Raw genomic sequence first — 24,046 nt, forward strand, 5'->3', positions numbered from 1 at the left:
GCAATCTGGCTGCCCAAATTCACACCCGGGACCCAGCACCCTGGGAGCCCACAAGACAGGCCAGGGGCATTCACAAAAAGTATTTTATTATTCTTAACAGTACTCACTTTAAAGGAATAAGAGGATAGCATACATTTTTTACAGACAATATATAAATGTTGTACATAATTAACAATAACTTAGTTCACTAATCCAAAATAAAACAAGCCAAATAAAACATAAAAACAGAAAATACTGCCGATTCTTTTTCTTATGCGGACACTAGTACAAAATAAGTTACTTCTGGCCGTGGTGCTCCCTGCAGCGACTGCCCGCCCATATTGCACTTGGTCACTACATCAGCACAATCCTCCTCCTGGGCCAGGGGCCCCTCACAGGCCACCACACCCCGCCGTCACCGCATACAGAATCTAAGCTCGGGACACGTTTATATACAGCTGTACCTTGGGAAGGATCCAGACAGCCACAGTAAAGCTGGACCTGAGACCCCAGCAGGGACACAGCCTCTCCCTGGGTCCTGGTCCTGACCTGCCCCCAACTCCTGCCTTCACCCCCTGCCAGGCCAGCAAATGCCAACCAGCCCCCAGAAACCAAGGGCAGCAAAGGCCCCTCCCCACCCCCAGCTTTCATACTAGGGCTGTGGGATCCCAGCTCTTTTCCAAAAAGAATTGCAAAGCTCCAACCTTGTGTGTAGGTTTTATTCCTTTCATAGCAGGGCTCCTGTGGCTACGTACAATCAACTGGACCCAAAAAGAGTTTAAAAATAAAACAATTAACTCATCAGCGAGTTAAGCCTATGCATTTTTTTAATATTTTTTCTTTTGTCTCAGAGTAGGAGGCGAGGGGGTTGAAGGGTTAGCAGAAAAAGGATGTATTTACAGGGTCCACCTGACAAGACAGGCTGTGGCTTGCGCTCAGTAAGGGGACACAGTCACAGCAGCTTCGGCCTCAAAGCCAAGGGAGCGATCTGGGAGACGTTTCCCCTTTCAAGAAAATGTTGTTTCCTTCCTGTGACCCAGCCCTGGCCTGGGAATCTGTGCAGGACCGCCCGTGATTGTCTCTGCCCTCCAGGGCCTGGCCCGTCAAAGCAGGCACCAGCTCACCCTCCCTGGGCCGTGGCCACTCTGGCTTTGGCTCAGCCCAGCCTGGAGTTCGGCTATTTCAGAGAGGGAAGCCAGAGGAGAAGAGGGTGCAGGCTGAGGTCCCCACAAATCTGCCCCCAGAGCCCTGGCAAGTGGACCCGCCAATCCCGAGGAAGAACCGGAGGACTTGGGACAGCTCAGACCACCAAGTCTCCAAGTCCTTGTTAGAAACAAGAGCAAAATAAATTATTTTTGCCTAATCCTTTTTCCTTCTAAAAATGGTTGCCTTCGTCTGTCCCGTCCCCTCCTTTTCTCTACATAAAGTTGTCCTTGTTGTTCTCCAAACAACTGTCCATGCAGGAAACCCCACCTGGGCAGCGGTCAGGTGCGGAGGCAGCCTCTCAGCGGTGGGGAACATTCACAGTAACTGCTGGCAGGCTGCTGGGCGCCCTCCAGGAGAGGGGGTGCTGGGCCGAGCCGGGCTGGCAGGAGTGGTGTCGGCCTTCGGGAAATGCTGGGCTGCTAAGGGTTTGGTCCACCCATCCCGGGAGTGCCCGGTCCTCGACGTCCATCTGTTCCCTAGCCCATGGCGGTCACCATGCTGGACGGGTGGGGGTGGCCGAAGGAGAGGCTGGAGGAGGGGTGGATGGGCGTCGGAGTGGGCAGGATGTGTCCGGAGTGGCTGAAGGGCGGGAGGTGGCCCACAGGTGCCATGTGTCCAGCCAGGGCAGCTGCACTGAAGGGGGATGACTTCTCCTGCATGCACTTTGACAGCTCCTCGAAGCACTCCGCCCCTTTCTTGCTCTTCTTGGACTTGTTGGACATCTTCCGGTTCCGAGTCTGGATCCCTTCCTTCTTCATGGTCAGTGGCCTGTTAACCTAGAGGCAACCACCAGTTTTCAGAGGGCCAGTTCCTTCCTCCAGCAACATTCCTCCCACCCCGCCACAGCGTGGACCAGAGGCAGGTCAAGCTGAGGGTCCCAGGAAGCCAGGAATTGTGCCCGACCTTCATAGTCCCATCACCAGATGGCTACCATTCCAGGAAGGGCGGGTTCTGGCATATGGGGCTGACCCACACCCTCCCTGGCTCTGCCCACCGCATGCCAGCACTGCCCAGCCAACTGAAGTCCTCCCCCCCACCCTGACCCTTTTTAAGCAGAGAAACCACTTCCCTAGTCCGAGACCCTGTCCTAGCCAGCTCCACCTCCTGAGCAGAGGCAAGGCACCCCTCTTACGGGAAGCCCTTCTGGCGCTCACTCAGGGCAGCAGCTTCCCAAGCCAAGCCAAGCTGGATATTGTGGCTGGGGCCTCTTGCCTGGCAGCACAAAGCGCAGAGGTCCCCTGGGAGGGGCGGGGTGGCCGGGGCGGGGCGCACTCACATTGTGCAGCTTGTAGTAGAGGCCACAGGCGTTGCAGACAGGGTCCCCGTTGGCGTTTCGGCGCCATAAGGTGGTGGTTGTCGTCTGACAATTTGCACAACAGGTGCCGGCTCTTCTGGCGGCCGACTGGGAGGGCAAGGCAGCGTCAGCAGGCTGGACTCCCACGCCCACCTCGACCCCCCTCCCTGACCCTCGCTCCACCCCCAGTCCCCACCAGCTCAGTCAAGGAGGGCTAAATCTCACATGGGAATCAAAGCATCTCAGAACCATGGAATTTTAGAATTTGAGAACGAAATAAGTCAAGACTCACAGAACTTTGGAATAAAGAACTCTCAGAAGCCTGATGTTAGAATCAACGGGATTGCAAGAGCTACAGAGGAGAATTAGCTACCTCCCCCAACTACCCTGCGCTCTAACTCCATAAATGGGGAAACTGAGGCCCTGAGAAGGGCTCTCTAGTAGCACAGGCATCCTGAGGCTGAGCCGGCTTGGTCCCCCTCGAGCCCCTGGATCTGGGGCCGATTCTGTGTCTCCTCTAGCACGACTCCGCTCAAAATCCATAATCCTGGGTGAGTCAGTGTCGCTGAGGCCAGCGCAGGTTTACAGAGTGCAGAGCTGCACCGTCCAACACTGTAGCAGCTGGCCACAGGCAGCCATTTAAATAAGATCTAACTACAAATTAACAAAATTAAAAACCCAGTTCCCTCAATTGCACGAGCCACATTTCAAGTGATCAATATTCACATGTGGCCAGGGGCTACCACAGTGGGCAGTGCAGACACAGAACTTTTCCATCTCTCCAGCTGATGTGAGTGCTGATCCCCCCCATCCAGCCCCCCATACCCCAACCCTTAGAGCTTTAACCACCCCGCAGCCCCTCTGAGTCCTAGTCCCTCAGGAAATGCCTGGCAGAGGTAGGGTCTGGAAATGAGCGCCTGGTCCTTGCAGAGAGAAGCTAGAGGGAGGCTTTACCCAAGAAAACAGATCCCCTCTCCCGGTTCCACCAACGCCAGCCCCACAGTGACAGAGGGGGTCCCCCAACACTTCCCAGAGAACTGCAGGCGGGAGTGCACCAGGTGGTGAGTGTGGGGGGCTGGGGGCTGAGGCCTGCAGAGCCTGGAACAGCCCCAGGCCCAAGCCTGGTCACAGAAGGGACAGAGGGACTGCAGCCGCGGGGGCAGGGAGGGGTGAGTAAGCAGCCTGAAGCTGGAATTCTGACTCAGGGGCCAACGCCGCGTCCTCCACCTCTACCCCCACCCGGGCCTCACCCCGCCCTCGCTCCAGGGGAAAAAAAGGCCCCCAAAGCAGGGAACGATTTAAGCCTCATAAATCACTTCGCCCTGAAAAAATATATTTATTATTCTTAGCATTTTACGCATTATTTGCAGAGTGGAGGGTATTAGAAATTTCAAAACAGCCCAGCGAGAGGCAGGACTGAGCTGAGGAGACTCTAAAAACTCGCAGAGTCCGGAAACAGATACACGAAGTTTCCTTATCTTCAGGCTGCAGATGTCCGGATAGGAAACTCCGGCAGGAGATCCGAAAGGGCATTTTTTTAAAATCACTCAAATGAAAATACACAGTATAGGTGACTCCATGGAAAAATAATAAAGGGCAGGTTTTTTTAGTGGCCGGTGTGAGTTTGTGTTTTATTTAAATAAGCACGAGGAGCTTGTGAGCGGGGCTGTCGGGGAGGGCTGAGCCACAAGGAAAAGTACTTCATGGCCCTATTTTTAAAAAAGAGCTAAGCAGAGGCCAGAGGACAGGAGTCCGGCCCGTGGACACTCAACTTCGGGGATCCCGGAGCAGAGTGGGGTGGCGCAAGGGTGCCCGGTGGGCTCCCTATACCCGAGGAGGAAATCTGGCCCGAAAGAATCTGGCCAGAAAGAGAGACGACCCCAACTGACATCCCAGTGCTTTTCATGATAAAAGAGGATTTCAAGCGGCAAAGCGTCTGCATTTGAAGGAGTTTTTTTCCCCTGTAATTAACCGCCAGCTCCTGCCCAGCAGCCCCCTCCCAGCCACCTGTGCCCGCTCCTACCAGTCTTCGCTTGGGCTTGATGAGTGGTCGGTTCTGCCCATTCATCTTGTGGTAGAGGCCACAGGCATTGCACAGGTAGTGGCCGGTGCCGTCCCGCCGCCAGAGAGGGGTGGCTGTGGCCCCACAGTTGACACACTCCCGGCCTTCTGCAGGGGAACAGGGAGAGACACGGGGGCCTGCTTAACCGGCAAGTTCTCGGGAGGGAGTCCAGGGCAGGAAAGCAGCCAGCCGAGCAGTGCCGGTGCCTCTCAGGCACACGGTTGGCCTGGGCCTGGCTGCAACAGCCTGGGCAGGAAGAGGGACGAGAGGGTCTCCCACATGGGAGGGGGCACAGGTCCAGAGTCGTTTAAAGCCAAATCCCCTGCTTCCAATCCTCACCAGGAGGGATGGAAACGAAGGAGGAGGGGAGGAGGGGCCCAGGGCCCCAGGCGTTCTGGAGCAACCAGGAGGGTATTTACTGCAAACTTTGCCGAGGGTAGGGTGGTGGCAGGAGTCACCCAGCTCAACCTGGCTGGGCCCAGGAGGCTCTCTCCTTCCCGCTCTGGCGCGTCTCTCCCCCTCTCCTCTTTTGTCCCTCTCCTTTCTACCCAACTGTGTCTGCCCCACCCCGTCTTTCTGCTCTAAGTCCAGAAGCATTTCCCTCTTTCTCCCCAACTTTTCTCCTCTTCCACCAAAGCTCTAGAATTTTTCTGAGTCCTGGAAATAATGGATCGAAGTTGTTGTTCTTTAAAATAAAATAAATAATAAGCTCTTTCTTTTTTAGATAAGTGGCCTGGGTTTTTTTTGTTTGTATTTTTTTTTTCAATTAAAAGACCATCTGGAATTCAAATAAAATGCAAAACAAACAGGAGAAAGGACCAAGAAAAGGCAAGCTGACGGGTCTGAGCAGAACTAGGACCCTGAGCCGGGGCTCAGCGGGTGCTGGGGCCAGCGGGGGCTGGGGCTGGGGACCAAGTTGAGCAGGATCACTGGCTGGCATCGTGTTCCCCAGGAAGTTATTCTTGATTTAGTTTAAACTAAATGAGGAGTACAGCCTGGCAAGAGAAGGTGGTTCCTGCACTCAGGAGTAACTGTTTTAAAAACCTTCCCCCTCTGTGGCTCAAAGGGATTCGGGAAAGAGACATGGACAGCAAGAACTCCACACTAGCCACGAGTTTCTGGGTTTATGCTCTGTGGCCAGATTCTTGGACAAACCCAGTTTGGCCCCAGCCAGCTGCGGGAAAAGGGGCGGGGGCACTGCAGCTTCATCCCCTCACTCCAGCCCTCAGGGAGGGAGAGGGAAGGGCCTGGCGAGGGCAGGGAGCAGGAGCAGGTCCTGGGAATTTTGCTCTGGGGAAAATCTCCCGAGGAGATCAGGGAGCCATCGAAATCCCAAGATCAGACTGATTGAGTTAGAGACCCAGATTCCTTAATGGTCTGGAACCTCCGGAGTGCCTGAAACATGCACACACAACATGCACACAGACACACGTATACACATGCACACACGCTCCCAAACACATGCACATACAGAGTCACTTCCCTCGCTTCACATACTAAGTCCTGAGGTGGCTTGAATTTTCACTTAAGATTCAGGGAGGGAAAGGGGGAATTCCTGTTCTATGTTCTGGTCAGGCAGTGACCAACCCTGGGGCAAGGAACTGAACTTTGGGGGTACACTGGAAGCACTTAAGAAAATGGCAAAAGTTTTAGAGTCTCCTCTCCCTGACCCGGGGGTCTCAAACATCTGCTGGGGGCTATTAGAGCGAGACATCACCCATCCCCAGATCTGGGAAACCAACACTGCCACCTCTCCCAAGTCACAGCTCCCCACCACAAAAACGCAAATGCTCCCCTCTTCCACGAAGTCCCCAGCACCTGCCTTTACCTGAACAGGAACGAGCCTTGCTGCGCTGCTTAGGGGTGAAGCTGGAGGCCGGTCCCCCCAGGAAGCCTCCGGGGTGGAAGAGTCCGCTGCTGTAGTCGTGGGCAGCCGCCGGCACATAGGAGGGGTAGGTGGGGATGGGGTGGTGTGTAGCAGGCTGGGTGCCCATAGTAGCTAGGCCTGGGCGCAGGGGACTGCCACTTTCCATCTTCATGCTCTCCGTCAGTGACACCTGGTACTTGACGCCGTCCTTGTCCTCTCCTCGGGCTGCACTACCCCCCGCGGAAGATGAGGCTGGAGACGCAGCCCCCGTGGTGCTAGGGTCAGGAGACACTTCTTTGGGTGGCGTGGGTGGGAAGCCGAAAAGGTGGGAGCCAGAGTGGGCTGCTGTAGGGGTGAGGGAGGCCACTGAGCTCCCGCTGCCTCCCCCGCTCCCACCCCCAGCCCCTGGGTACACAGAGAGTGGGCCTCCAGGGCCTCCAGCAGCTGAGGGGTGCAGTGGCGTCTTGGAGAAGGGGCTCACGGTCCAGGGGTTGTGGTGGTGGGCCGCAGCGGCAGAGAGGGCTGCTTTGCCCCCGTCCAGCCAGGGCAAACCCGGGCTGTGCAACAAGTGTGGGCGGCACATCTGGCCTCCGGTCAGGCGGGCTGCGGGCAAAGAGAGAGAGGATCAGGGTGGGCAGAAAGATCAGGGTAGGCAGAGCTAGGGACGCCCCTGACAGACATTGAGATCACGACTCCCAGAACCAGCAGTCATCCCCTCCCCAAAGAAAGCCAGAAACATAATACCCCACCGGTAATAATCAGGAATGTCAGTCCAAGCTGAAGGACAAGTGGCATAGAAGGAACCCCACCGGACAGACCCTACAGGGAACCCTCACAGGCCAGCTGGAAGTGGGCAGAAACCCTGTGGGTCCCAGACCCTCCCCAATCGGCCGCTGCTCCCACCTCTCCCGCCCCAATTTTTCAGCAGCTCGATTCCTGCGGATCCTACATCCGGGAAGCAAGCAGACGGGCCCTCCTCCCCTCCCTCGCCTGGCGCGCGGCGCCTGGGTTCTCATCACCACGGGCCCAGTGCTCACCGTGCGCGGGGCTGTAGGAGACGCGCGCCCGCGCGTGAGCGGGGTTGGCATAGTAGGGGTTGCCCTGCGAGTCGAGGTGATTGAAGAAGACGTCCACCTCGTCTGGAGGCAGCAGCTGCGCGGGTTCCATGTAGTTGTGCGCCAGGCCCGGGTGGTGTGAGTCGGGGTGCTGCGCATTCAGCACGGCCGGGTGCGCCATCCAGCGCGGCTGCTCGGGCGCCACCTCCATGGCCGGCGGCGGCGGCTCAGGGTCTGGGTGCAGACGGCAACGGCCCTGCGCGAGGAAGGGGGAGTGAGGCGTGCCGCCAGCGCCTGACACCCCCCAAAGTCCCACCACGAGGTGTCCCGCACGCCACGGAGCCCCAGCCCAGATCCGGCGAGAAAGAGCACCAGTCCCGGGTGGGAGGAAAGCCCAAGGCTCAAAACGAAAGGAAGGCGGGGGAGGGGGTTCAGCCACGCACACTCACGTGGTGACCCGCGGCTCCAGAATCACACACCCGTGCACATGGGGTCACGCCCGGGGACGGGTCCCGACACCAGTGACCCCAACAAACGCACAGAGCAGCACTTCAGTCAGACACTCACACTGAGCCCCCCCGCCCGGTAGACAAACACATGAACACAGACTCAAAAGTTGGAGACAGGCGCCCGGGCACCCAGTGTGGCACTTGATCCCAGCGACACGCACACACCCACACTTGGCGCCAGATACACATACTGATCTCAACCCCGAAAACATGCACACGCAGCCCCCTGAGCGCAGTACTAAGCGGCACAATCAGGACCTCTCAACAAAGCACACCAAAGCAGTCGCCCGCAGCCTGGCCCCCCGCCCTAAGTCCCCCCAGAGTCCCCTCAAAGCTAGGAGCGCCCCAGGCCCCCAGCCGGCTCTCAAACCCCAAACTTACACACGCAGCCGTGGGGAGGGGAGGGACTCGGCCTCTGAGAGTGAAGGAGTTCCGGCGGGAGCCCCGAGGGCGACGGGCCCAGGGACAGCACGTCCGGAGGCTGGCGGGGCTTACAGGGTAGGAGCTGGGGGTAGAGTGCGCCTCGGCCTCGGGCCCTCCCGGCTCCGGCCCCTCGGCATCCTCCGGCCGCCCTGGCGCCAGCTGCCGACTCCTGCACAGACATGAAGCGGGGGCCGCGCACGCCTAAGAAGCCCAAGCCAGCCAATCAACGCCGCGCGCCTCCCAGCCTCCGCCTCCCATTGGCTGCGTCCGCAATTCCCGAACCGCTGGACTCCGGGACTGACCCGCGGGCCGGCCCCCCTCAGCCGGCGGGCCCCCTCCCTGCGCGCTCCTGGCGGCCCCTGCTGCCAACGCGCCCCACCACTAAGGGACCCTCACCCCAAGGCCCGACCCCTGCAGCCCCTCTTGCGAACACTCCGGGATCCCTCGATGCTCTGGGCCTCCCTAGCAGTAACTAACCACCAACTGCCCCCTCCCCAGGAGCCCGGGCCGCACACCCTCTGGATGGCCTCTCCCCGAGACCCTAACCCCGCCACGCTCCTTCACCGCTGAACGTGGTCAGTCCGAGCGCAGTTACCTACCCAGACCGTTCCCTCCCCTAGCTCGGGCGCTGTCTGGGTGGACTGGGGGTTGGGATGGTTCGGACGACAGCGGCGGAACAGCAGGAGCCGAGAGGGGCAGAGAGGGGCAGGAACTACAGGGCTCTAGAGGGCACCTGGGCCTCGGACACGCGGCCGCTCAGGGCTGTGCTTGACCCAGTGGAGGTGGCCCGGCCGGTGGCTCCAGAAAGGGGGAGGGGGCACCCCTCCCCGGGCGTGGCCTTCGCAGGCCAACGGGCCCAATTGCCTGGGGCGAGGCCGTGGAGACCCGGACTGGCGCCGGCGCCAGCTGGAGGGAGACGCCCCCGGGCAAGAGGTGGCATTTTTTTTCCTCCGGGGGGGGTCCCCGAGGTGGCCTCTGGTGAGGGGGAGGCGGTGGTCTGAGGTCTCCGTCTTCTAAGTCACCTGGAAGTGCTCCCCACTCACTTCTAGCCCGGAGATCGGCTCTATGGTTCGTGTGGGCCGGGCGCACAAGTCTTCCTCCCTCCCATTGTACAGACTGGGGAGACGGAGGCTCGAAGGGAGCCCCGGGCCGAGGAGGGAGGTCCAGGACAAAGGCATTTTGGGGGACCTAGACAGGTGCCGAGTACTGGGGGGACTCAACAGCGTCCTCCAGCCCTCTTCCCTGTTGGGCCCGAGGCTCCCGGGGTAGATGTCCAGAGGGCCCCCAGGTGGGTCGGGGGCAGGAGGAGGGCTGGGGTCCCGGCCACCCCCGGGAGAGTGGGGGAGGGGCGGCGGGATTGACAGTCGGTAATTGGGTAACTGGAGGCGGCTTCTCCGGCCGGGCGGCCCCGCCACCGCGACGCCGAGCCCCTGACGTCACCCGATTCGCCAGGAAATGAACTTTTTAATAATCCGAGGAGGGAGGAAAGCCCTCGGTCCCCTCGGCTCCGGGGGCGCCCGGCTGGGCCCAGCTCCGCGGGCGCGCCCCCGTCACCCCCTCCCAGGCCAGTTCAGGGCAGCGCCAAGGGGCCGCGGGCTCAGGCTGAGGCCTCCTCCTGCCTAGGCGTCTGGCGTCCGTTTGTCTGTCCGAGGCCTCAGCGCAGGTAAAGCGCGGGGCTGGGGGGCGCAGAGCTCCATTGGGCTGGGAACCAGCGCGTCTCGTGCCCTTGGGGGACCCGCCTGCCCGAGCCGCCTGCTAAGCCTCCCGCTCCCCTCCACGCTGGAGCGCGCGGAGCCCGGTCTGCTCGGAACTCCACTCTGCGGGAGCGGAGGCCGGCGCCAGCCCGGGAAGCCGCGCAGGGGGCGGGAGGCCGAGCGCGAGGCCCTTGGCGCCGGGCCTCCGCGGCCAGGCCGGGCAGGTGAGCAGTCTCCGTGCCTCCCGGTTGGCGTTCCCCTCAACGCGTGCGGTCCCGCCGGGGCCCACTGTCTCTCCGTCCGTCTGTCTCTCAACTTTTCCCATCCTTTAGCTTACGATTCTTCATCAACTCGTAAAATGAGATCGCCGCGGAGCTCGAGCCTATTTGGCGTCTCCGGAGACTAGCAAGACCCTCTGAAAGACACCGCGTCCCCAGGGATAATCCCCCGTGTCCGGCAAAGCTGCCCCGCTCGAGCGCGAACCCTGGGACCCAGCGCGGGAGGCAGACCAGCAGCTGGCCGCTGGGCTGTGAACGCCAGGACCGAGCGGAAGCTTCCCGCCCGGCCGCGATCGGTGCCGCGGCTCTCAGGGAAGTGGCTACGCGCGTCCCTCGGGAAAGCAGGTAATTCGCCTTTTTCTCCCACCGGCGCGGTAAAAATTACCCTCCCCCTCCCCGTTCCGTGTGTATTCCCAGTTTCAGCGCAGCGAGCTCGGCGTCTAACCCCTCCGCGGCAGGGTCCCGGCCACTGCGGTAGTGGAGGTGGCCAGCCTGGCTGAGTCCCCTGCCCAAACGTCAGCCCTGTGCTGCCGCCTGCCTGACGCAGAGCGGAGCGAGGGAGGGGATTTAATTACCCCGCTCGGCAGCTCAGAAAATCGCCGCACAGAGGGGCTTAGCAGGACGGTTAAGGAGTGCTTGAGCAGGGGCCTCGGGAGACCCGAACCAGCCTCCTTGCCCGCAATCCGGTGTAGAGGAAAAAAAGGAAACAGGAGTTCTGCCAGGTCCTTTCAGGCCTTGGGGTTGCCTTCCTCGACAACGCAGGCAGGAGCCGGCTTGACCGAAGCCTCCACCTCGGTTGCAGGTCCTGCGTAGGATGCGGGACTGCTGCATTCTCTGGCGGAAACGAACCCGCCTGGGAGAGAGAAATGCGACGCCAAGTAGCAGGGCGCCCAGCTGGCCAATAAAGAGGGACCCGCGCTCGACAATGTCTGTGTGTGCCAGGCAGACCGAGGGACACCAACCGGGCCCCTCCCCATTAGGCCGAAGACATGGTCCTCCCACCTTGGGCCCCAAACAAACTCCCGGGGAGGGTCAACGCAGCCCCCAGAATCTGCTGGGGTCTTGAGGCGCTGTTCCAGGCCTGGTGAGAGCAGATTTACTCCAATTTATGGGCTGGAACTTTGGGGTCCCCAAAACACCTTTAGAGGGACGCGTTCCCTTTTTCAGTACTTTGTTCGTTCGGGAGTATAGTTGGAAATGCTGGCGCTGCCTTTGATCACATTAAGAAGCTGTCACTTTCCTTACTTGGGAACAAGATTTCTCTGAGGACTGGAGAAGGTCAGCCAGGAAGCAGAATTTTCGAAGGACCCTTTTGGCCCGAGAACTCACAGCGGCGATCGCCACCATTTGACCTGGGTGCTTCTGCCTGGGAGCTGGGGAGGTAGCAGATCTGGTGCCCGGTTCTAGAGTGCTTCTCAGGCCTCTACTAAGCCGCGGGTGCCAGGTGGGGACACAGAGATGCCCAGGTCTCCCCGGCCGTCCAGCCCCCCCCCCCCTCTGAGCCCTTTGTTTAAAGTTAGCTCATCCGAGGCGGCCCCTTTGGGACCATAAGTTTGCCCTCCCTTTGTAACCTAATTCTTCTCGCCTTTTCCTTATGGGCAGCTAATTGGCCCGCGGTGTGGGGCTGGGGGTGGGGTGTCAAGGAAACCCATTTGCTAAGGGACTACCTTCCATAGAGAAATTTAATTCGCAACCCAGCGGCCTCCCAGCCCCACACTGGCAATAAACCTTGAGGGGTACGGGGAGGAAGTGGGGTGCCTTAGCAGATGGGTTCAGAAGTTCCCTTAAAGCCGGGGCATTAGATCTCAGGCCAGCAGCCATCCCTCCGGGGGGGTTCCCAAGGGGGGGACTACTGCTATAACGGCCCCTCCTGCTCCTTGAGGTTCAATTCCAGCCCCTTAAAGCAGAAGGCTCCCTCCCTCGGCATCAGTGCAGGCTCTCCCACCTCATTACTGTTCTGTGTCTTTGGGAATCGTAGAGTCTGTGGCCCCCACGTCCTAGGTGTCTCGGCACCCTGGACCCAGGCGCCTCCGAGATTCTATATCGCTTCTGACCCCTACCTTCAAGCCTGGCAGGCTCCCCGCGGAACCCTGCTGAGACCCGGAGACAATCGGGCCGTGCTTCTCCCTCCTCCACGAACAGCCACGGTTTATTTGGAGCGGCCGGGGCCGGCGGCCTGACAACTGGTAAATCCGTTTCGTTAGGCACAATTTGTCTGCAATTTGTCAGCCCGGCTGGGAAACGCTCCCCAGACGCCTCGGCTGCCGCACGGGCCCTACCTGGTTCTCGAATCCTGCCTGCTCATAAACGAATCCTAGCACGGGGTGCCTGCGTAGACCTGGAGCTCACCACCAGATGTTCCCGACCTCGGGAGAGGAGGCTTTTTCCAAAACAACGAATTTCCTTCCTTGTTTTCCGGTAAAGGAGCGTTCGCCACACACGGGGTCCCTGAACGCGGGGCCTTTCCCCTCGTGGTTGGAGCAACGCGGAGTTCAAGCCTGGCCGCCACAGAATAATTTTAAATGCCCCGTTTTCAGACAGATCCAGAACGCCGTCTACGCCTACCGGCGGCAGATCTTCAAGCCCGCGGCGGCCCCATTCTTATTGAAATCCCACTAAACGGATTCCGACTCCGGCTTGGGGCGGGGGGAGACTTCCAGACCCGGCGCTCTCCCCCACACGCACCCCAGTCACACAGGATAAAGGGCTGCGGGGCGCAGCGCGCGGGGGCGCAAGCAGGAGCGAGCTGGGTTAAGCCGCGAAAAGCCGGCGCACGGGACCAGCCGGCAGGTGCAGCCGCCGCTCGGCGGCCCGGCTCGGACGCATCCGCCGCGGTGGCCTGGGGATTGGGGGCGGCCGAGACAAAGGCCCCAGTTCGGGGGCCGGGAGGCGGGGGTGCTTTGCGAGGCTCTGGGAATGCCAGGGTCTCGTGGCCTGTGGCTCCGAGAAATGGGAAGACAAGAGGCCCGAGGCGGGCCTGCTGTGCCCAGGTAACCAAATACTCCCTCTGGTTAAAGTCCCTATAACCAGGGTTTCCGGTCTCTGGCAGGGCCAAGGCGAGCCCCAAAGGTAGGGGCCACAGGGCAAACGGACCAAGCGATTCGGGTGCCAGGCGGGCCGGGCCGGGGGCGGGAAGGGCCGGGCCCAGGGAAGGTGGAAGTGGAAGAAACTCACCGAGCGAGGCGCGGTGGGCGGCGCCCCCGGGCGGACGGGGCCTGGAGTAGAGCTGGGAGCAGGGCGAGGTGCGCGGCAGGCGGGCTCGCGGGACCTGGGCGCGGGGTGGCGGCGCTCACCAGCAGAGCCTGGGCGGCACGCCGAGCGGCCGCATGGTGTTCAGCGGACCGCTTTTGTCCGCCTGGTGGGCGACGGGGCCCTGCTAGGATGGATGTGGCGGCAGGCAATAGACAGACTTGAGCAGCGAGTCCCGGGGCGACGCTGGCCTCGCTACCTTCCTGGCGCTCACGCTGCCTCTCTCTCCCCCACCGGCCGCAACGCGGCTTTTTATTTCGACATCACTTTGCGGGGGGGCAGGGGGTGGCGACGGGGGCGGGAGCGCCGCAGGGGGCAGGAGGGTACCCGGGGCTCTGCACCCGGCCTACCAGGTCCAGCCGCCTGGCCGGCCAAGGGCCGCTAGGCACTCAGGGCGCGCACACCCTGTGCATCCACACTCCAGGCCGCTCCCACCCTCTCCGGAGCGCACACGCGCGCCCCTGACCTCAGGGATGCTTGCTCAGAAAGCTTGGGACACGTCTTTACTGAGACTCTCCCCGGGGACCCTCAGGAGCTGTGAGCACACGCACTCACTGATAATGGTACACAGACGCCCGCTCCTCTGTCTTCAACCCACTTCCAGGAGTGCTCACACGGACACGCACACATCCCTGCACATGTGCACACAGCTGTGGCCGCGAGGACATCCTCAGACAGACGGCCTGGGTCACACCGACACACATGGCCATACAATCAGATGCAACTCGGCACTCGGGCTCACACTCAGGACGCCCTCACTGCCAGGCTTGTTTAGCTAAGTGCAGGCGCAGCCCCTCTCCCTGTCCCACCCCCCCTCCAGTTCCTAACGCTGGGGGACCCCCTGAGCACTTTAGAAGTCCACTGTCTGGTGTCCCCCTGGCCCATCTCCTTGGGGCAGACTCTCACAATGGGGGAAGCAAGGAAGTGTGCAGAGGGCTTGTTCACAGAAGTGGGAGTCAGGAGGGGGGGAGAAAGTGAGTGTGGGAGTCCTCATCCCCAGAAGGCCCCTGGGTTTGTGGGCAAAGACAGTCCAGTCCTTGTGCTGCCAAAGTTCTTACTAAGGGATTCAACCAGTCAGCGTCCCCCCACCCCCACCCCTGATTCCCATTCCAGCAGATCAGGGAGAGTGAAAGTGGCCTGGGGACCTTGAGCCCAGAGGGAAAGTGCTTGGGCTTGGAAGGACTGGGAAATCTGTGCTCCCGTGCCCAGGTGTGCCCCAGAGGAGTGTTTCTGTCCCCTGGTCTTTGTGACCCCTGCTGTCCATAGGTCTTTCTCCAAATCTGGTGGTGACTATTGCATTGTGTGTGTGTTCTATGCATGTGGCTCAGAGTCTATGTCCTGTGTGCCCAGGTGTGTCTGTGTGCACTTAGGAGCACACAGGAGTGTCTGCAAAACTGGGTGTATGAGTATGTTCATTTCTTCTTGTGGGTTCCTGAGAGTTTGTGTATTGGGCAGTAGGTCACAGTGTGGCTATTTCATGACCCTGGAATTTGGCACAAGAGAGTGTGTCTGTGGAAATGGTTGTGCGTCCCTTTGGCTCTGTGTCTGTGGGGTCATCATGTCAGAGACTCATGTAATGAGGGGTGGGGATTTCCAGGTGTTTGCCCATGTGTCTGTAGCAGTGTGTGGCATGTCTATGAATGGGTGTGTTTTGGAGTGTGTGTTTGCGTGTGTATGTGCATGTATCTAGGCATGTGTTACTGTGTGTATTTTTGTTGTTGTTGTTGTTTTGTTTTGTTTTGTTTCTTGAGACAGGGTCTTGATCTGTTACCCAGACTGAAGTGCAGCGGTTCAATCAGCGCTTACTGCAGCCTCAACCTCCCAGACTCAAGCCATCCTCCCACCTCAGCCTCCTGAGTATCTGGGACCACAGGCATGTGCCACCGTGCCTGGCTAATTATTTTTATTTTTATTTTTGTGGAAACACAGTCTCACTATGTTGCCCAGACTGGTCCCAAACTCCTGGACTAAAGCAATCCTCCCACCTCGGCCTCCCAAAGTCCTGGGATTATAGGCGTGAGCTACTGCGCCTAGCCTGTGTGTGTCTTTAATAGTTTGTACCTGGGTATCTGCATGTGTCCTTGAACTGGTGTATGTGTAGGTGTGTGTGTGTGGTGTGTTGCATGTGTCTGGATATCCATGTATAATTCTCTTTATTAATTGATGGCTGTTGGGGCGTGTGTTTGTGTTTGTGTATTTGAACATGCATTTGGCTATGTGCATGTCCATCTGTCTTTAACAGCATAGGTATCAGTGTATATCATTGTATCTTTGAACTGATGGTGGGGAGGAGGAGATGTATCCGAGTGTGTCTGCATGTCTACGTACAGCTCCATGTATGAATTGATGTGTGTTGCGGTGGGTGTTTGTGTCTGCGTATCTGGGTTGTGGGCAACTGTGTATATGACTACATCTTTGAAATGCATGTTTCTGTGGCCAGCAGTGCCCTGTTCTGTGGACTGTAGAAAAGTGTGTCCTGGGTGACACGCGGGGTGTGCATCCTGCAGGATCACACACCATCCAGACCTTCCTTAACCAGCAGGGCAGGCCGCCAGTGGAGCTCTAGGGTACCATTTGCTCGGGCACTTTCTGTCTGTCTGTGGGAGGGGAGATGAGCTGATAAGGCTTATCTGCTGTCGCCAGCGCCATGCTGAATAACTGCTCTAATGAGGTGTCCTCATTGGGACCACCCGATCCCAAGGCCCTGGGCCTCACTGGGGAGGGGCATGGGCGAGCTTGTCTGAAGCACAGGAGCAGGGCCTGGGTGCCTACAGGGCCTTTTCTACTTCTGTCTTGTTTCCTTGGAAAGGGGGTTCCAGGCCTTGCACCTCCCCACCCCACCTGCCTCCTGCCTACTGGGCGGAGCTGGGCTGGCCAGGCCAGAGCTGGCTGGAGCCTTCCAGTCTCTGGTCTGTGGCCAGGTTCACAGCCTTGAGAGGGCAGGAGGTATGAGGCCTGGAGATGTGGGGCCCTCAGGGTGGGGTGGATGAAGAGAAATGGAGATTCAGTGACAGAAAGATCCAGAGAGACAAGGAGTGGGGAAAGAGATGGGAGGCCCAAAGACAGATTTTAAAAAAACAATGAGGAAGAGGCACTGGTGGGGACAGGCCTGGAGCTTGGGGACACTTGGAGACAGACAGAAATAAACAACTAAAAAGTGGCAGAAAGGGTCAGAAAGATGGGAATAAAAGCAAAGAAGGTGATAACCACAGAGACATGGACAGAGACAGGAGAGAGATAAGAGAGGACAGAGAGATAAGACAAAAATAGAGAGATTCAAAGAGAGGCGCAAAGAGCCAATGCGAGAAGAGGGACGTGAGAAGGGCCCCAGAGAGAAGAGTGGGGACGCAAAGGAAAGATGGGCAGGATGGGATGGACAGACTGAGATGGAAAGGCCGACAGGGCTTAGCCGCCAAGCTCGAAGGAAGCGCGGGAGGCCGGGCGCCGGGCGAGGATGGGCTGGGCATGAGCTGCGGGCCGCGGGCAGGGCGGGACACCAAGGCGCGGGCGGTGGTGGCGGGCAGGGGGCTCCGCGCGGGGCTGCGCCGCTGTCCGGGGTAATTTTTCATCTCGGCCGGCTAATCTTTGTTCCCGGCGAAGATAATGAATAGCCAGTCGTTATCTGCCCGGCTCCCGGAGGCTGCCCGAGAATGGGGTTGTACAGGGCTGGGAATTGTTTCCAAAGTGCCGCGGAATAAATGGTGTTCCTTATCTCTGCCTTCCAGATTATCGGAGCCCTTTCAGAGAGCGCACAACAAATGCGCCCGCCATCGAATGCATCATTTACCACCGCAGATCCGAGCGCTGATGGGCAGGCAGATAGCCCTCTGCTGGGGGCACGCGGGCTCCCCGTGCCCGTACCACTCGCCTGCCTGCCGGGGCCACTGAGTGTGCGCCCCGGTGTGCCCGGCGTGTTTGGATGGACACGTGGGTGTGCCAGTGCATGGGCTAACGCCGATGCAACTGTGCGGGTGTGTCAAACAAGTGTACCACAAAAAAGTGCAGGTGTGCGAGCCCATCCATGCACACGCATGGCAGGCGTCTGTGCTGTGTCCGGAGGCGGCCGATGAGGCGGGTGGAGGGTTCACACAGGAGGCGGTGCTGCACTAAGCTTGTGGGCAGGCATGCGGCCCAGGGTGGCTGGACACGTGGTGGAGGAATGGGAATGCAAGCCCGCGTGTCCGAGTGCAGCGGATGAGCATCCTGCGAGTGCCTCACTGTGTCTGCCCTGGAGGTGGCTGTTTAGGGGAGCACGCCGGAGGCCACTAGGGTGGATGTGCTGTGTGCATGCAAGTGCCCACCCTACGTTGTGTTTCGGGGCACACAAGCTACCTGTGCCTACCGGGATGAGCATGCAAGTGTCACCGCTCCCGCCGGGCGTGCTTGGGGTGTGCTTGGGTCTGCGTGAGGCTGTGTGTGTCCTGCCGTATCTCTGCCCAGGTGTGCCCTGGTGAGCTGAGAGAGGGGCACGGGGAAGGGCAGTCGTCGGGGCCTGTCCGTGTGCCAGCGTGGGTGGACTCCGGGCTGGGGAAGCGACAGGGAATGGTGTGTGCCGGTGTGACAGACGCCAGAGCGGCGGGGTGGAACGTGCTGTGTCACGGGAGACTTTCTTGACCAAAACGGAATGTGCGAGTGTGGAAGGAAGAGGGGCCGTCCGCGGAGTTTGGGGACACCCGGGCGTCCGAGCCCCAGAGCCTCTGCAGCTGGGACAAGGAAGCCCGAGCCCGCCGCCTGAGGTCCCCGCGCCGTTAGTGACACGCGCCGCCGACAAAGGCTGTATTTTTCCAGGCTCGCGCCCCGCCCGCGCGCGCGCGATGGTCCCCATGGCGACGCAGATAGCGCCGCAGCCATTTTCCCTATCTCCCCAGAGTCTATTATACGGCGGGATTAGCTCATCTCCAGGCAGGTCAAACCCAAAGTCACACAACCTGCGACGCGGGCCCCGCCCCCACTCCCCGGCCGCCCCTCCCCTGCCCCGGCCCCGGCCCCGGCCCCAGCCCGGCGACCCCCGGCTGCTGCCCAAGCGCAGGCGCAGAGCGCCACCTGGCGGCGGCGGGGTCTCGGGTGGGGTCCGCGGAGCCGGTGCCCGTGCAGAAGAGGTGGGGTGAGGGTCTCTACCTCCAGAAGGCGGGCTCTCTGGGAGCAGGGGCTTTGCTTTGTCACTGCTGTTCCCCAGGGCCAGACTAACACACAGTAGGTGCTCCATAAGTGTTTCTTGAAAGGATGTTTGGAGGGATGGATGGATGGATGGATGGATGGGCAGGAAATTATAGACGGGGGCAAACTGCCAAAGGCTACAGTTTAGTTGGCAGCAAAAAAATCGTTTCTGAGAACGCATCCCACTGAATTTAGAATAAAAGCCAAACTCTTAGAACCTATGTAGTGGCCCTTACTGACCTCTCAGACCTGATTTCCTTCTTCCTCACTGCAGCCACAATGACTCTCTTCTTGTTCCAGAGTGTTCCCACCCCAGGGCCTTTGAGTCTACTGTCCCCTCCACCCCGAATGCATTCTGACTCCACTCAAGTGTCACTCTCCAAGAGCCAAGTTGCTCCCCTGTCCCCTGCTCTTCTCTGTCTATGCATTCTTTTATAGTGCTTAACACAGTCTGAAATAGTCTCGCCCCTGTGTGTGTGTTGTCTGACTCCCCCTCTAGAATACCAGGATCCTTGGAGGTGAGGGAGTTCCTGTTTTGCTTGTGGCTACAGCTCAGCCACTGGAATCATATCTGACAATTGGTTGGCATCAGTCGCAACTCTGGGAATGAGGGAATGAGGACTAGAGGGGGCTGGACGGGCCCAGCCACCTGCCTTCATCATTGTCATTTCTCTTTATCACTACGGTAACTCCTCCTTCCCCTCATGACTTTGGAAGTCATTCAGCAGCCACTCCAGCCCCACCAACCTGCCCCTATCCCAGAGGGGCCTGGGATGGAGGGAGAGAACCACTGAGGCCCCTCCACATCCCTGCACCCGCTGTGCCCATGGGGGCGGAGAACACATCTGACCCGGCTCTGAGGGAGCCGTGGCCTCTCTAGGGAGGGCTGGCCTGCTGGTGAGACTTCACTCATAATACAAGATAATTATACCAGAGTTGTCATGAGGCGGTGGTGATTAATTGCTGTGCGTGGGGCACGGACGGACAGCGAGGTATAGAGAGTGGAGAGAAGGCCGCAGCCCAGCTGGGCTTCCAGGTGGGAGCTCAGCCTCCCCATCTCTGCCGTGGAAGGGACTCAGAGGTGTCAGGCCAAGCATGCAGGCAGGCTTGTGACAAACTCCTTGGCCAGGAGCTCTGAGAATTAGCTTCACTTCCCTCAGAAATGCCCCAATTCCCTCCTGGAAGAGGAGCTGTGTGACAGCTCAGGCCAGGGGGTCGGGACTCCCCCCATCTCCTCCGCACACACATACCCCTGCACACATACCCAGCCACGTACAGCTGGGTGGCTGTACGCAAGTCATTTTTCCACTCTGAGCCTCAGGGTCTTCCTCTGTCCACCTCCCCCCAGGATTACTGGCAGAATTAGGTGTGAGCTTGCATTTAAAAAGAGGTTTGTTTTGTAAACCCAGGCTTTGCAAATTGGCAGCCCAAGTCTCGGGGGCCTGTGCAGTGACTGATCATTACCAACATTTCGAAGTGAGAGATGTCACATAAAGAGCGTCATTTCGAGCTTCTCTTGAAAAGTTGTAAGGTGAGCTACCCTGGGACTGTATTCCTGAATGGCAATGTGATGGCAGAGTCCTGCAGTATTACCACCTGTGGACTTGTGCACCAGGGTTCCCACCCACCCACTTCAGGCCCTTGGTTCAGGGATGTGCCCGTCATGGAAATACCAGGTGCTGTGGCTCTGCTGGTTTTGGCTTTCCTTCTCTGTAACCTTCCAATATCTTTCTCCTTCCAGGTACTGTAAACCACTTAGTAATTAATTAGTTAATAAATTCATCTCATCAGCACTTTTAAATAATGTGCTAGGCCACACTGTCATGGACCCCAGATATACAGCAGCAAACAAAGCAGCCATGGTACCTTCCCTCAGGGAGCAGTCAGTCCAGTGGAGGAGTCAGATATGACTCACCACACAGATCGAAAAATCTCCACAAATTATGAGAAGAATGCTGAGGGAAGAAAGAACATAGGTGGACCGCTGCTGAGTCCAGGCTTACTTGCAGAGATCTATGCTGGCCAGGCCCTGTGCTAGGCAGCAGAGGACATGGAATAAAATCAAATAAGGTCACTGTGTGCAGGCACCTCACGGTGTGGTAAAGGAGCAGCCCCATCCACAGGTTCTATTAATTCCAGCCTGTGAGAATTGGAACCACAGGGTGAATTTTGGAGGACAGGCACTTACACTAATCTGGAAGCATAATATATAAAGAGTACCTACAAATCAATAAAAAAAAATAGAAAAAAAAAGAGCAAAGTATATGAACAGAAAATTCAATGAAAAGGAAATAGAAATGGCTCTTAAATGAATGAAAACATACTCTCACTCAGAGAAATGAAAATTTAACCCATGTCAAGATACTTGGGGTGAAGGAAGTGTTTTAAAATTCGATTGTGGTGATGGTTATAACCCTATAAATTTACTAAAACTTATTGAAGTGTACCTTTAAAACAAATGAACTTTATAGTATGTCAGTTATATCACAATAAGGCTATTTTAAAAATAAAAACACTTTGAGATACCATTTTATACCTGTTGGTATTAGCAAATGTCAAAACACTGGATAATGCATTATGTTCCTAAAGGCATGGGGGAGACGGCCTGGGGCAAGCGTCCACTGATGCATTCTTGGGTTGGGGTGGGCAACAGGACGCTGTCAAACATACAAATACATTTACGCTTTGAGCTGGGAATTCCACTCATAGGACTTCATCTGATATATATGCTTTACATCTGAAAAATGTATAAGGAAATTCACCACAGCCTCATAGATTATGGCAAAAGTTTGGAAACAAAAGATGTTTGTCTACAGGTGAAAGGTTATGCCACTGTCAAAAAAAAAAAAAAAAAAAAAAACAGAGAGAGAGAGAAAGAAAGGACAAGAAAAAGGAAAGAGTAGTTCTTTGCATACTGATACGGCATTATCCCAAGATAGAATTTGTGTGAAAATAAAGGTGCAGTACAGTGATGACAGTGATGTGTTACCACTTGATTAAGAACTGGGGTAAGGAGAGAAAATATATACATTTGCTTACATATTTACAGAATTTCTCTGGATGGAAAACAAAAGAAGCTGTTAACAATGGTTGACATCTACCTGGGTTTGGGACCTGGGTTTGGGTGGCTGGGGACAGGGATGGGAGAAAGATTTTCATGGTGTACCCTTTGATTCCTGTTGAAATTACATAGACAGATAGATGATAGATAGATAGATAGATAGATAGATAGATAGATAGATAGATAGATGGAGAAATATATACACAGTCACATACATACACACACATATATATATCCTGTATAGGAAAACGAGATTAAAATGCACAATGAAAACTTTTTGACTACAAAGTAAAGATGGAAAAAAGTTTGCCAGGAAGAAAAGCTGGGGGAAAATTCCAGCCGCTGGCTAAAACATAAAGAAACAAGAATTCCCTTGCCCTATTACCAGGAATGTAAATTGTTCCAACTATTTTGCAGAGTAATTTGCCTGTTTCTGGCAAATCTGAAGATTGGAATGCCACACGGCCCAGCCATTCCTTTTCCAGGCATATGAGAAGCCCTCACACATGAGCAAGAAAGAGATGTGGCCAAAGACATTCATGGAGCCCTGTTTGTTAAAACAGAGAAAAAGAAATTAAGAAATACCCAGCCTGGGCAACATAGGGAGACCCTGTCTCTACTAAAAATAAAAATTTATACTTGGGAGGCTAAGGCAGGAGGATCACTTGAGCTCAGAAGATCGAAGCTTGCAATCAGCTGTGATCGTGTCACTGCATGCCAGCCTGGGTGACAGAGAGTGAGACCCTGTATCAATAAAGAAAGAAAGAAAGAAAAGAAACAGAAATAAACTTAGGACACAGCAGACGGCCCATCCTGAGGGTACCACATAGCAGATGCTGGGACCTTTTTTCAGGTGGACGCCACATGACCTTTCCTTTGCAGGCATCCATGCTGATGTTCACAAGGCACACAGCATTTCAGCTGAAGAAAGAACTGGCAGGATTTTCATCACGAAAGGGCACTGTCTATCGTTTATGAAAATGAAGCATATGAAGTAAAAGTTTGGAAACAGATGGAATTAAATCTTCTGACAGATTTTAAAATAAGATCTAAAAAAGAGCAAGACATGCTCTTGGATGGGGAAACTTAATATCAGAAAAATGTCAATTTTCCCATTTTTTCCATATAAATTTAATGTAATTCAAATTCCATTACCAACAGGGTGATTTTTTAAAAAACTAGATAAAATGATCTGAAAGATTATGCAGCAGAATAAATGCCCAAGAATTACCAGGGAAGACTGGAAAAAAGACTGCTGTGGGGGTTTTGCCTTCCTGGAAATAAGACCATACTGCAAAGTCACTGTAATCAGATCAATATGGCATTGGCAGAGGACTAGACAATGGAAAGGAATGGAGAATACAAAAATAAGTTTCAGGATATATGAGAATGAGATATATGCCAAAGGTAGTATTTTGATTCGGTGGGAGAAGGGCAGACTGTGAAGTAAGTGGTACCAGCCACAACTGAATATCCATCTGGGATAAAATAAAATTGCACTCGTCTTAGAGATCCAAATCAACTTCAGATGGATTAAAACTTTGAATGTAAAAAACATAAATGACTAACAGTCCTGCAAAATATCTTGGAGACAACCTGTGCCATCTGGAGAGTGGGAAGAGCACATGCAAAGGCCAAGGGGTGGAGCAGCCCAGCATGTTCTGGAAAAGGTAGGGCTCCCCAAGGCTGGGATGATGGTGGAGACCTGGGTGTGTGGGAGCACAGGGGTGGGGGCCCGTGGGCCAGGAATGCACAGAGAGGGGCTGGTGCTCTGCCGCAGGCCCAAGCCCCCAAAGCCCGGTCATTCCCAGCACCATCTTCACGGGTTTCTGCCCAGGTCTTTCTGCTGCATCTCTTCCTCCCCCGATTCCTTAATCATTTTTTTTAAAATCAGTTCATGTCTTTGTAAACCAAATTATTTCTAAAAGGCAAATTTATATTACTGCCGAAATCAAGGGTCAGTGAGCTAGTTGTGTATGTTCTGAATCACATGGAAATAAATGCATCGAACATTAAGAAGGAAAGAGTGTCTAGCGTTAGCTACCTTGGTGTGCTGGGCTCAATGTGCATTTTGGAAGTTGCCCTGCCACCTTGTGGGCAGGAGGGACTGGATGAGTAGGGAGTCGGAGTGAGCATGAAGGTGACCAGAAAGTCCATTCCTTAGAAAGTGAGGAGGTGGCAGCCAGGGTCCAGGCCTGGGCCCTGCCTGCCC

The 24,046-nt window shown here is 56.6% G+C and overlaps 1 protein-coding gene and 1 long non-coding RNA gene across 4 annotated transcripts, besides 10 other annotated features; one reads left to right on the forward strand and one right to left on the reverse strand.

The window, feature by feature from the left end:
• On the reverse strand, positions 65 to 13,844 carry GATA2 (GATA binding protein 2). 3 transcript variants are annotated; one of them, NM_001145661.2, is made up of 7 exons: positions 8,995 to 9,173; positions 8,354 to 8,564; positions 7,446 to 7,719; positions 6,370 to 7,011; positions 4,503 to 4,648; positions 2,462 to 2,587; positions 70 to 1,961 (listed from the first exon to the last, which is right to left on the reverse strand). In NM_001145661.2, exons 3-7 carry the CDS (start codon positions 7,672 to 7,674, stop codon positions 1,662 to 1,664), a joined length of 1,443 nt encoding a protein of 480 aa, NP_001139133.1. In that variant the 5' UTR covers positions 7,675 to 7,719; positions 8,354 to 8,564; positions 8,995 to 9,173; the 3' UTR covers positions 70 to 1,661. The 3 variants fall into 3 exon arrangements, with proteins under 3 accessions (NP_001139134.1, NP_001139133.1, NP_116027.2); NM_001145662.1 differs by lacking the exon at positions 8,995 to 9,173 and having other exon boundaries at positions 65 to 1,961; positions 2,462 to 2,545; NM_032638.5 differs by lacking the exons at positions 8,354 to 8,564; positions 8,995 to 9,173 and adding an exon at positions 13,542 to 13,844.
• Positions 4,128 to 4,692: an enhancer, noted in NCBI's record as "H3K4me1 hESC enhancer chr3:128202328-128202892 (GRCh37/hg19 assembly coordinates)". NCBI's record gives its function as "activates a minimal SCP1, AML or CMV promoter by ChIP-STARR-seq in naive H9 embryonic stem cells {active_cell/tissue: H9 hESC(naive)}" and the evidence as "EXISTENCE:reporter gene assay evidence [ECO:0000049][PMID:30033119]".
• Positions 4,693 to 5,257: an enhancer, noted in NCBI's record as "H3K4me1 hESC enhancer chr3:128202893-128203457 (GRCh37/hg19 assembly coordinates)". NCBI's record gives its function as "activates a minimal SCP1, AML or CMV promoter by ChIP-STARR-seq in naive H9 embryonic stem cells {active_cell/tissue: H9 hESC(naive)}" and the evidence as "EXISTENCE:reporter gene assay evidence [ECO:0000049][PMID:30033119]".
• Positions 7,775 to 8,382: an enhancer, noted in NCBI's record as "H3K27ac-H3K4me1 hESC enhancer chr3:128205975-128206582 (GRCh37/hg19 assembly coordinates)". NCBI's record gives its function as "activates a minimal SCP1, AML or CMV promoter by ChIP-STARR-seq in naive H9 embryonic stem cells {active_cell/tissue: H9 hESC(naive)}" and the evidence as "EXISTENCE:reporter gene assay evidence [ECO:0000049][PMID:30033119]".
• Positions 7,775 to 10,160: a biological region, named in NCBI's record as "CRISPRi-FlowFISH-validated H1-10 regulatory element 2". NCBI's record gives its function as "regulatory_interactions: H1-10".
• Positions 8,314 to 10,095: a transcriptional cis regulatory region, noted in NCBI's record as "chr3:128206514-128208295 region (GRCh37/hg19 assembly coordinates) targeted for CRISPR interference". NCBI's record gives its function as "negatively regulates H1.10 gene expression in K562 cells {active_cell/tissue: K562}" and the evidence as "EXISTENCE:mutant phenotype evidence [ECO:0000015][PMID:31784727]".
• Positions 8,470 to 8,669: a silencer, noted in NCBI's record as "silent region_14706". NCBI's record gives its function as "represses an Ori minimal core promoter by ATAC-STARR-seq in GM12878 lymphoblastoid cells {active_cell/tissue: GM12878}" and the evidence as "EXISTENCE:reporter gene assay evidence [ECO:0000049][PMID:35858748]".
• Positions 9,350 to 10,160: an enhancer, noted in NCBI's record as "H3K27ac-H3K4me1 hESC enhancer chr3:128207550-128208360 (GRCh37/hg19 assembly coordinates)". NCBI's record gives its function as "activates a minimal SCP1, AML or CMV promoter by ChIP-STARR-seq in primed H9 embryonic stem cells {active_cell/tissue: H9 hESC(primed)}" and the evidence as "EXISTENCE:reporter gene assay evidence [ECO:0000049][PMID:30033119]".
• Positions 9,846 to 23,850, forward strand: GATA2-AS1 (GATA2 antisense RNA 1). The gene is made up of 3 exons (NR_125398.1): positions 9,846 to 10,313; positions 10,422 to 10,712; positions 22,252 to 23,850. It is a non-coding gene; the product is annotated as a GATA2 antisense RNA 1 (long non-coding RNA).
• Positions 10,161 to 10,972: an enhancer, noted in NCBI's record as "H3K27ac-H3K4me1 hESC enhancer chr3:128208361-128209172 (GRCh37/hg19 assembly coordinates)". NCBI's record gives its function as "activates a minimal SCP1, AML or CMV promoter by ChIP-STARR-seq in primed H9 embryonic stem cells {active_cell/tissue: H9 hESC(primed)}" and the evidence as "EXISTENCE:reporter gene assay evidence [ECO:0000049][PMID:30033119]".
• Positions 10,973 to 11,782: an enhancer, noted in NCBI's record as "H3K27ac-H3K4me1 hESC enhancer chr3:128209173-128209982 (GRCh37/hg19 assembly coordinates)". NCBI's record gives its function as "activates a minimal SCP1, AML or CMV promoter by ChIP-STARR-seq in naive H9 embryonic stem cells {active_cell/tissue: H9 hESC(naive)}" and the evidence as "EXISTENCE:reporter gene assay evidence [ECO:0000049][PMID:30033119]".
• Positions 13,554 to 13,643: a silencer, noted in NCBI's record as "silent region_14707". NCBI's record gives its function as "represses an Ori minimal core promoter by ATAC-STARR-seq in GM12878 lymphoblastoid cells {active_cell/tissue: GM12878}" and the evidence as "EXISTENCE:reporter gene assay evidence [ECO:0000049][PMID:35858748]".
• Positions 23,851 to 24,046: the final 196 nt, after the last annotated feature.

The sequence above is a fragment of the Homo sapiens genome, chromosome 3 (assembly GCF_000001405.40).
Source record: "Homo sapiens chromosome 3, GRCh38.p14 Primary Assembly".
Taxonomy (NCBI): Eukaryota; Metazoa; Chordata; class Mammalia; order Primates; family Hominidae; genus Homo; species Homo sapiens.